The sequence below is a fragment of the Homo sapiens genome, chromosome 14 (assembly GCF_000001405.40).
Source record: "Homo sapiens chromosome 14, GRCh38.p14 Primary Assembly".
Taxonomy (NCBI): domain Eukaryota; kingdom Metazoa; phylum Chordata; class Mammalia; order Primates; family Hominidae; genus Homo; species Homo sapiens.
Genome location: NC_000014.9, coordinates 64,902,315 through 64,914,320, shown reverse-complemented (window position 1 = coordinate 64,914,320; position 12,006 = coordinate 64,902,315). Strand labels below are relative to the sequence as shown.

Sequence of the window (12,006 nt, the reverse complement as noted above, 5' to 3'; positions counted from 1 at the left end):
CTTGGCACCGTGCGTGGGCAAAGGGTGGGGCTTCAGAAACCTTTGGAGACAGACGAAGAAATCTTGTGCGCTAACAGATGTGACGGGAAGGGAAAGGGATCTTGGGCTGAGCGAAGTTCTCACAGACACCTTCCTGAGCTTAGGCTGACAAGAAAGGCAAATCACGACACACAAGAAAGGGAATTATTTCTCGCTACCGCATATACAAATCTGAAATGTTAATGAATACATTTCTGTACCATTTCTTAAGGCAATGAGAGTGAATAAGAGACCAGATCTCAGCAGGTGAATAAACAGTAACCGAAGTGTTTGGGAAGAGACACTCAGAGTGCTGCAGAAAATCTCCTAAAAAAACACTTAAAATATTAGTAATAATTGGTCATTCCAGAGTCCTCTGGAGGACATAGCAACGAGGAACGTATTTCTATCTCTCTCAGGTGTCACAGAAGCACCTCAGTGGCGGGCAAGCACTATGTAAATAGAAAAATGGCCAGGTCATCAGCCATCCCATTACTGGGTATATACCCAAAGGATTATAAATCATGCTGCTATAAAGACACATGCACATGTATGTTTATTGTGGCACTATTCAGAATACCAAAGACTTGGAACCAATGCAAATGTCCATCAATGATAGACTGGATTAAGAAAATGTGGCACATATATACCATGGAATACTATGCAGCCATAAAAAAGGATGAGTTCATGTCCTTTGTAGGGACACGGATGAAGCTGGAAACCGTCATTCTGAGCAAACTATCGCAAGGACAGAAAACCAAACACCGCATGTTCTCACTCATAGGTGGGAATTGAACAATGAGAACACTTGGACACAGGGTGGGGAACACCACACACCGGGGCCTGTCGTGGGGTGGGGGGAGGGGGGAGGGATAGCATTAGGAGATATACTTAATGTAAATGACGAGTTAATGTGTGCAGCACACCAACATGGCATATCTATACATAGGTAACAAATCTGCACGTTGTGCACATGTACCCTAGAACTTAAAGTATATTAAAAATAAATAGATTTCAAAAATTATCTAATTGAATTGACTGCAGATATTTTGATTTCAGATTTGCACATCCATTTATAAATGACCTATTGGTTCACAGATTAAAAAACCAATAAACATATGTGCTTCCAAGAAAAGAAAGAAAGAAAGAAAAATGGCCAGGTCAGTTGTTCCTGCATCATTTCCCAATCCTGTGGGTCTCAAAATGCTTGTGCTTGTTGCCCCGCCTCATCCTTTCTCTCTGTATTGAAAGCATCTTATTTATTCGCAACGACCTAATTAACTTGCAGACGAATCTCCGAAGTTTGTCTCTGTTTCTGAACAATGCGTCTTTATCACACTCCTCTACCCCAATGGGAACATCAACATCCTCCCTCAGCCCTGCTTTATTGCTGTCATGTCAGGGAAGAAAGATTGGGGAGCCTGGGAGACTCTGGGATCCAGATTCCTTAAAGAAGAGATTAATAACCATTTCAAAGCACACCAGTTTAAATGGGTTTGCTAATATGGGAATTATTTTTCCACGGAAGCACTGAAGTTGTAACCTTTAGTATTTCAACTTCTAGTAAGTATCTGCAACTGTTATTAAAAATCATAGGTGTGCTAAGAAACACTGCAAGAACTAGAGCCATCAGAGTTTACCTTATTCTTAGAATAATTATAATACCTCCCATTTGTATGACATTTTCAACCTTTCAAAAGTGTCCTCATTTCAGTTTCTAATTTTATGCTATTACAATCCTATGTGGTTGGTAAGAAAAATATGTCTCCTCTTTTCAGATAAGGAAACCACAGAAGTGAGTGGTTAAAGGTCTTGTCTATGGTAACAAAGCTACTCAGTAGTCAGCCAGGGCTAGGACTCTGTTGCTATCCTTATCTCAATTTCTTTCTAATACAGTAGCACTAGCCACTTATGGCTATAAAGCACTTTAAATATGGCAAGTTGAACTGAGATTGTGCTGTGAGTACATTCTGCACACCAGATTTGGAAGATTTAGTATTAAAATATATAAGAATCTCATTAATAAATTTATATGATTACGTTGAAATAATTTTTGACGTACTGGGTTAAATAAAAATGTATTATTAAATTAATTTCACCTGCTTTTTTAATGTGACTACTAGAAAATTAAAAATTACACATGTAGCTCTCATATTCCTATTGGACAGGGCTAGTCTTTTTTTCTTCTCTCTCTCTCTTTTAAGGCAGTCTCACTGTGTCACCTCGGCTGGAGTGCACTGGCATAGTCTCGGCTCACTGCAACCTCTGCCTCCCAGGTTCAAGCGATTCTCATGCCTCAGCCTCCCAAGTAGCTGGGACTACCGGGGCACACCACCACAACCGGCTAATTTTTTGTAGTTTTAGTAGAGATGAGGTTTCACCATGTTGGCCAGGGTGGTCTCGAACTCCTGGTCTCAAGTGATCCACCTGCCTCGGCCTTCCAAAGTGCTGGGATTACAGGTGTGAGCCACTGCACCTGGCCCAATTCTTTCTCTTCATCCATTTTTAAATGGTTTCTCTGTTTTTAAAGCCTAATACTGACTTTTAATCCTTTGCTACTCCCCAGCTACAATTTAGTCTGAGAGATAAAATGAGCACAAATACTAATAATTACTGGCAGATTGGGGTATAAGAACACAAAATGATGAGACTACACCCAGGGGGAGGATTAGGAAAGAGGAATTTGGGCCTTAAAGCATGTTTAGAATTTCAAAAAGCAGAGTTTTGTTTTGTTTTGTATAGAAATTTCAGGTGAACCATGCCAAGGAGTTTGGATTTTATTCTGCATGTGGTAGGGAGCAACTGAAGGTTTGAGCAGGAGAGTGTTGCCAGAGTTGTGGTTTAAAATTATTTTAGGCTGGGTGTGGTGGCTCACACCTGTAATCCCAGCACTTTTGGGACGCCAAGGCAGGAGGGTAGCTTGAAGCCAGGAGTTCAAGACCAGCTTGGGCAACATAGTGATGACCTCAAAAAATTTTTAAATTAGCCTAGTGTGGTGGTGTGCACCTGCAGTCCTAGCTACTCAGGAGGCTGAGATGGGAAGATCTCTTGAGCCTAGGAGTTTGAGGCTGTAATGAGCTATGATCATGCTGCTTGCACCCCCGCCTGGGCAACAGAGTGAGACTCTGTCCCTAAAAAATAAATAAATAAAAAAGATTATTTTAGCTGCATTTTATTGGGACTTACTGGAACTGGGAAAAAAATGGACATGCCAAAGGCAGACGTTAGCAGGAACCACAAGGGGGAGATGTATAGCTTTCTGCCTCATCACTGAGAATATACACAACAAAAATAAATTAATTAAAAATTACACTAAAGTCATAGATCTTAAAGAGTACACCCATTAGCATGAATTGATTTCATATTCTAAGGCATGAAAGACAATCTACATATTTATGAAATTTTTTTACCTTCCCAGAGTTATATCATAACTTGTTATTAAAATGAGCAAGATAAAAAAAAAAAAAGGTCGGCCGGGTATGGTGGCTCATGCTTGTAATCCCAGCACTTTGGGAGGCTGAGGCGGGTGGATCATGATGTCAGGAGATCGAGACCCTCCTGGCTAACATGGTGAAACCCTGTCTCCACTAAAAATACAAAAATTAGCTGGGCATGGTGGCGCATGCCTGTAATCCCAGCTACTCAGGAGGCTGAGGCAGGAGCAACGCTTGAACCTGGGAGTCAGAGGTTGCAGTGAGCCGAGATCGTGCCATTGCACTCCAGCCTGGGCGACAGAGCTAGACTCCATCTCAAAAAAAAAAAAAAAAAGTTGTCATATTTATGGTCACAAAAGCTCAAGAGCTCAGGGCTATCTATCCAATGAAGTCCTCCATTTAAATCTAGCCACATTCAGAGAAGAGAGGCAGGAAATGAGACTTGGGGGAAGAGGTAGCCAGGACCAGAAATTAAAGTGTGACTGTGGTAATGGGAATATAAAAGTATCTGAGGTTGACAGATGGGAGAAAGGAAAATAGAGGCTACAAAGCAGAAGATTAGCACCTGAATGAAATGAACAAGTAGTGATGTAACATAAGAAAAACAATAAACAGAAAAATATTTTCTCTTATAGGTAACTATATAAAATAAAATTTGCAAAATCAATTTTATCTTCTAATAGAATTTTCTCTGGGGAAATACCCTGCCCCTATGGGTCTCTAATAAATATGTGATGTCCATGAGATATATCAAACAAACCATGTTGCAGTTTACGTATGAGATCACCTCTTGTAAAAGGAATTGATTAAAGAAAATCTAAATGTTAAAATGGCCCTAATTGCTGGCTCAGTTACATGTGCTAAACTACATCCCTGTGGTAAGATGAAAATTTTCCCTAAAGAGTGCAGTTTGACTCTCCTTTTAACACCTTCTTTCTATTTTTTCTTTTGTCTTATGCTGTCTTAAGCCAAGAGTCTGAAGTGATGACACAATGCTGATCATATCTATTATTTTCATCTTTTGTTGAAAGGAGCAAATAAGTGCCCCAGCCTTTATGGTAGTATCCTCAGACCCATTTCACAGATGGAGTAGAGGAAGCTCATCTGCTTGGTGAAGGTATAGGTCATTCTTTCCATTGTTTCAGGGAAAGTGTGAAATAAGAGTCTGTGGTTGTCATCACCTGATGTCACCTGCCTGATATGAATGAATTAGCAGCATTTCTGGGTTAACCCAGTGAATACAGGTGAGCCTGGCTGAGGACAGGTACAAAAGCACTCCTAGAAGTTCAGGGTCAGCAGGTTTTTTTCTTAGCTCAATGGGAGAGTTAGACTTTCTTCCCTTTAGGGTTCTCCTGCCCAACTTCAGGCTACTTCCCCTATTCAGATGATAAACTCAAGCCTTTCAAGCACATTTATTTATTTTTTGCTTTTTAAAACTTTATTTCAACATAACTATGCTTACAGAAGTACAGTCATATTGGCTAATAGAATGCAATTTAAGTTTAAACTTACCCTGTACAATTTGAATAAGAAACTTGGTACGTGGTTTAGGATTTTAAAAATGATTTGCAGTCTGGTTTATTTTTTATCTATTACAAATGTATAAAAGACCCTCCATCAAATTCTGCTAAAGAAGGCAGCAGAAACTTGAGAAAATTACCTTTGGTTTGTCTTAGAAAAAAAACAGGCATTGCACTGCTTAAGTTTATAAAATTGGTGCAAAAAAAAATTGTAATGCTTCAATGCCAATTTAGAAAGTTCAGTTACCAATGGATATGGAAATGGGTGTGAAGGAGCCTATATACACATGTGAAACTGTAAATATCTGATTTAGGTAATATTGCCTGTAGATTATAAATCTACACACACCAAGATTCATATAATTTCTCCAATCTGAATTAACACTATCTGTTCACTTCATCTGCTGAGGTCAATCAGGGAACTGGACACAGTAGTTGTTTTTCTGATGTATGCAAAAAAGAAAATGGAATTGTTTCGTTTGCTTTTCAGTCCAGAAGTCAGTATACTATGGGCAAGGTGTTCCTTCCGTTGTCAACATTCGTAGAGTGACAAACAATGAGGTCTACTTGGGTTTTAATTTGTATCAGCACTCATATCCAAAGCAGTCTCCAAAGTTAATGAACACATGACTTTAGAAGTGACTCCAAAAAATAAAATGGCCCTGCTTAGAAGATTAGAGCAAAACATTCAGCAATATTTATAAGAAGCCTTATCAAAAAATGCAGCCCCTTGTGAATTACACCTCAGTATTAAAAAGTAGCCCCCAAATAAGAAGTAGCTCTGAAAAACAAAGAGGAAAAAATGTAACTTAAAATATCTTAAAAACCAGCAGGGTGCAGTGGCTCACGCCTGTAATCCCAGCACTTTGGGAAGCGCCAAGGTGGGTGGATCACGAGGTCATGAGATTGAGACCATCCTGGCTAACACGGTGAAACCCCATCTCTACTAAAAAAAAAAAAAAAAAAAAAACTTAGCCGGGCGTGGTGGCGAGCGCCTGTAGTCCCAGCTACTCAAGAGGCTGAGGCAGGAGAATGGCGTGAACCCGGGAGGCCGACCCTGGAGTGAGCGGAGATCACGCCACTGCACTCCAGCCTGGGCGACAGTGCGAGACTTCGGTCTCAAAATAAATAAATAAATAAATAAATAAAAATCTTAAAAACCAATGTGAATATAGGTTCAAAAGATGATAGTTAAAAGAGATTCATTTTCTTAAGACTACCTAGGATTAAGACTTATAATGTATTCTAGTATTTCAAGTTTACCGCTAGTTACTAAACATAAATTTACAAATAACATATCCATTTTTTCAAACATATAACACTTAAAAGCAAGGGAATAGCCATTATTTCCCTCTGATTCTGTTTTTTTTGCTCTCCTCACTTTTTTTCAAATACAGATTATCATTTCCATATAAAGTTTTCACCAGGTATGTCGAAATCTCTTAAATGGTAGCTTCTGGGGAAATATTCTCTCTCAAATCTTGCATGGATTGGGGTGGATTTTTTAATATTTTATGTATGTATGTATGTATATAGAGATGAGTCTCACTGTGTTGTCCAGGCTGGTCTCGAACTCCTGGGCTCAAGCAACCCTCCTGCCTCAGCCTCCCACAGTGTTGGGATTACAGGCATGAGTCACCACAACTAGCCAGAAGGAATTTAATAATCAAAATGCAATTGGGTTTCAGATATTTTATTGTGGGTTTTTTCCCCCGCAATGTGTGCCTCAAGGACATAGTAAGACTTAGAGCAGACTTTTATTCTCTTTCACCTATATGGACTCTGAGAGGTAAAGGAGTTTGGAATTTTTAGAGAAACCGGGGAAGTGAGGAAAGGGAAGTCAAGAGACTTCTGTTTTGTCCTGGAGAATGGCTAGCAGATGGAGGGTTTACTTCAAGGTAACCCAGGCACAAAATCCATAGAAATCAAAAAACTTGGGTAGTGTTGAAAAGAGTAGTTTTGACTTGGAATAGAGAAGGGGTATATAGAAGCTGCAAGGAATATTTGGAAAATAACATGGTGATTTACAGTTAAAACATTAGATTTTAGTCCTCATTGTAACTTAATAATTCAAGGACCCTAAACAAGTTGCTTATTGGCTGGTCTTCAATTTTCTCATCTGTAAAATAATGACAATAATAAATATACCTACCTCATTGGCTTGCTTTATAAAATGATACACAAATGTTTTCGGTATATGTGTTTCTACATATGACTTAAGGGTTTTAAGAAAAGTAACTCTGGCCTTAAGCCTGAGGTGGTAGAAGGGAGGATAATAAATTAAGGAAGAGGACTGGCAATAACTCAAACTGCCCGATGTGTGAATGTGTGTCTGCTGAAGTGGATAATATGAGACTGTGTACTTTAACAAATTTGTACAAGGTGATTTGTGTGTAACTGGAAAAACTGAGTGAGCATGTTGTGTTGGAGAGGATGCCGTGGTAAAAGGGTCGTGTTAGGGAGGGAAACCACGGGAGATGGAGAAGGAGAAAGGCCAGGCTCCTCCAGGAAGTGGATTTGGAAAGTTACCTCAAGGCACAAAGAGAAAGGGAGCCTTCCTTGTAAGTGCTACTTTGGTTTCTACCTAATCACAGATTCCCAACCCTTCTAGTTCTTTGTACTTTTTTCTCTTTACAATATCCTCTTTGAGAACTAATGAGAGGGCTGGGAGTGGTGGCTCATGCCTGTAATCCCAGCGCTTTGAGAGGCCAAGGCTAACAGATCACTTGAGGTCAGGAGATCGAGACCAGCCTGGCCAATATGGTGAAACCCTATCTCTACTAAAAATACAAAAAATTAGCAGGGCATGGTGGCGTGTGCCTGTAATCCCAGCTACTCAGGAGGCTGAGGCAGGAGAATCACTTGAACCTGGTAGGTGGAAGTTGCAGTGAGCCGACATTGTGCCATTGCTCCAGCCTGGGCGAGACAGCGAGGCTCCGTCTCAAAAAAAAAAGAACTAATAAGAAAGTGCATAGCAAGGTTTGAGAGAACTGAGGTATATTATTAAGCAACTACAGTAGACAGCGCCAAGAACGTAACAATTATCATAAATCTCAGTATGTCACTGCTTTAAAAGCTCCATGATTCCCTATTGCCCTCAGGATAAAGACCAAATTCCTTCCTACAGCACCCACGACTTTTTAAAAGTTGGCCCAGTCTACTTCTGTAGCCCCGTGTCCTGCTGCTCCCTACCTCCCTTCCTGCTGTCATCCCACATTTCCTGTTTCTAACCTCACCAATTCCTCATGGCCCTCACCACACCAAAGTCCTCTTTCTAGCTTTTTGTGTGCTGCTCCTTCTGCCCAGAATAGCCCTTTGTCTCCTTATTGAATTCATATTCAGGTTCTCAGACATGGCTCAAACATCACCTCCTCCATAAAGATTGCCTATTAGTATCCCTTTCCAAGTACCTACAATAACAGTTTATTAATTCCCCTATTATAGTATGCGCAGTCAGCTCTTGACTGCAAACTTGAGAATCATGCTTGTTTCCCAGGATTTAGCATTATACCTGACACATAAGTGCTCAGTAAGTGTTTTTTGATTGATTACAAAAGCTGAACACACAGTTTCACCCTTCCCACCACCTTACTCCAAATTCCATAGCCAAAGGCAGTTACCATTCCACCTGTCTCATCTGGATTTTGCTCTGTTCACTCCAGGTCTTTGCTTTCAATGGTTTTGAAATTTGAGAAAGAAAACAAACAAACAAAAATTAGGAGAGTTTTGGTTAGAGAATAATACCTTTTGTTCTAATAAATTACCAATAAATTAATTGCTAAATCATGTCTTCATTCTGTGCCCACCAGAGGAAAGATTCTGCCTAAGACATGGATGACTCAACAAGAAGGACATGCCCTAATATCATCCAATTTAACACCTCCTTGTTCTCTAGGAAATGACCTATAAACTTAGCAGTTTGTTACTTCATTCCTGGAAGTTTAGCAACAGCCTCCTGACTTCAATTGGTTCTTTTTTTTTTTTTTTTTTGAGACGGAGTTTCACTCTTGTTGCTCAGGCTGGAGTCCAATGGCGCAATCTCGGCTCACTGCAACCTCTGCTTCCCAGGTTCAAGCGATTCTCCTGCCTCAGCCTCCCAAGTAGCTAGGATTACAGGCATGTGCCACCACACCGGTCTAATTTTTTACATTTAGTAGAGATGGGGTTTCACCATGGTGGTCAGGCTGGTCTTGAACTCCTGACCTCAGGTGATCCACCTGCCTCAGCCTCCCAAAGTGTTGGGATTACAGGTGTGAGCCATCACACCCGGCCTTCAATTGGTTCTATACACTATTTTATGTATCTCTTTTATAAATAATTGGATCCAGCTGGGTGTGATGGCTCATGCCTGTAATCCCAGCATTTTGGGAGGCCAAGGCAGGAGGATCACTTGAGCTCAGAAGTTCAGGACTAGCCTGGGCAACATGGCAAGACTCCGTCTTTACAAAAAATACAAAAATTAACTGGGCGGTGGGTGTGGGGGCGTGTGCCTGTAATCCCAGCTACTTGGGAGGCTGAGGTGGGAGGATCACTTGAGCCTTGGAGGTCGATACTGCAGCGAGCTTTGATTGCACCATTGCACTCCAGCCTGGAAAACAGAGACCTTGCCTCTAAATACATACATACATACATACATACATACATACATACATACATACATACTGGTTTTTGTCAACTTGGGCTGAAGGAAGGTAGTGACCCTTCACAGGCAAGGTGTCTACATCAGAGAGCATTTCATTTCAAAATTCAGAATGGTGCTCAAAATGTAAATATACCTGGAAGAAGTAATATGATGATATTAAAGCTCAGGAATTCAATTTCACTCATATAATGTTTGGGGTATCTGCCTCATGCCCACCTTTCACAGTCAGGGGGCAAGGCAAGAAAAACCAGTGATCACAATACAGTGTAATAACTGCTCTTCGGGATGCTCCTGGGGCCCAGATAAAGGGCAGCCTGGGAGAGGTCAGAGAGAGGAGAGGACACAGTCTCAGCAATGATTTTCCAGAAGTGTTGATCCCTCCGCAGACTCTTTAAGCTTAGACATTAGGGAATGTTGGGCAGGGTGTTCCCCCGACACAAGGACCAACATGTGCAAAAGTGCAGAAATGCTGAGAAACAAGTTTGTAAGGGGTGGTACATAGGGGAGGTTGCATTGATCTAAGTAATGTCACATCCTTTCATGAAGAGGATAAAGTTTTGACCCTTTAGTCAGGGGATATTGGCTTCATAGTTATGCCTCGGCCCAGCGCTTATGAAGGTTGTATAATGGATTTTAAATTGCTCAAGCTTCTTCCTACCATATACCAGGATCACATTTTCTACCAAAGTGGTGGTATGGAGACATACAAATGTGGACTCGCAGCCCGGCTCTGTGACTTATTAGCCGTGATGAAACACTGTGGGAAAGGTACTAACTTCTCTGTTCCCTTTCCCTCATTTGCAAAATGGGAATGCACCTTCTTCATGGAGTTGCTGTGAGAATTAAAGGAGAGAATCCACATTACACACGGTCTGACATATGTATTAAGTATTCCATAAATGTTAGCTATGATGAAGATGATTCCAATGGACCTAATAAAGATGTAAGAACAAGTGGCTAGTAATCAAGGGATGGTAATTAACTGCAACCGAATCCCAGAGTTAAGAAAAGTCTTAAGAAGTCACTTAATATACTCCTTTGCATCTAAGATCAATGCTTAAATCAACACTGTTCGACCCTACCTGCCACCAAGGGCTCTAACTATACTCAAGGAAAGATTGGGAGTAGAGGGAAAGGGTGAAAGAAAATCACAAGTAGAAAGAAGGGAATGAGAGATAAAGGGAAAAGGAAGCGGAATGATAGGACAAATGAGATAGAAAATACACTTTCGTGGCACATCTACTATTTAAGTTGCCTATTCCTGACTTCAATCTTCCAAGGCAAGTGATGACTTCATTCAAGTTAAAAAGAACCAAAGGAAGAACTGGGAACTCCAAGAGGTCAATATATCCAATAATTCCAGAGAAGTCCAGGTATTAAAAGATCATAAGTAGAAGGAAGTGTTAAGAGTCATCTTTTATCTTTTTTTTTTTTTTTTTTTTTTTGAGATGGAGTTTCACTCTTTTGCTCAGGCTGGAGTGCAGTGGCATGATCTCGGCTTATTGCAACCTCTGCCTCCCAGGTTCAAGCAATTCTCCTGCCTCAGCCTCCCAAGTAGCTGGGATTATAGATGTGGGCCACCACGCCCAGCTAATTTTTGTATTTTTAGTAGAGACAGGGTTTTGCCATGTTGGCCAGGCTGGTCTCGAACTCCTGACCTCAGGTGATTCGCCCGCCTCAGTCTCCTAAAGTGCTAGGATTACAGATGTGAGCCACCGCACCTGGCCATCTTTTATCTTTTCTAATGAGCCGTATGTGTGTGTGTGTGTGTGTGTGTGTGTGTGTGTGTGTGTGATGTTCCCTCACTGTTGCCCAAACTGGAGTGCAGTGGCGTGATCTCGGCACACTGCAACTTCTGCCTCCCGGGCTCAAGCCATCCTCCAGCCTTAGCCTCCTGAGTAGCTAGGATTACAGGTGCACACCACTTTGCCTGGCTAATTGTTGTTGTTGTTGTTGTTGTTGTTGTTTTTAGTAGAGACAAGTTCTCATTACGTTGCTCAGACTCTAAGAAGCTCTTTATCAAACTTGAGAATATTTAGAGAATCTCTAGACAGATTATTGTGCGTATTAAGACTACTGATGTTATGAGGGGCTCGGAGACTCTCGCAGATACAAGCAAAAATGCTAGACCAGACATTTACAGGTGAAATCTCTCTCTGAGAACCAAATTTTAGAGGAGTAGTCAAAGGGAAACATCCTTATATCATCCATGTACAAATCAATGAATGCTACTATCATCACCTATTTGGTAGGAGGAATTTTAAAAAGGCCCAAGCTGTCAGTAGTTTGAACAAAATGGTGTTCCCTTCTGGGGCTTTTCAACATCGACTCACACGCCCATGTGATTCTGACCTGCTACTCTTTTGTTGCATTATTTTGTTAAGTGTTTACT

General features: G+C 40.9%; 1 pseudogene, besides 1 other annotated feature; it reads left to right on the top strand.

Annotated features, from left to right (window-relative positions):
• Positions 17 to 66: an enhancer, noted in NCBI's record as "active region_8537". NCBI's record gives its function as "activates an Ori minimal core promoter by ATAC-STARR-seq in GM12878 lymphoblastoid cells {active_cell/tissue: GM12878}" and the evidence as "EXISTENCE:reporter gene assay evidence [ECO:0000049][PMID:35858748]".
• On the top strand, positions 4,541 to 4,833 carry RPPH1-2P (ribonuclease P RNA component H1, 2 pseudogene; annotated as a pseudogene).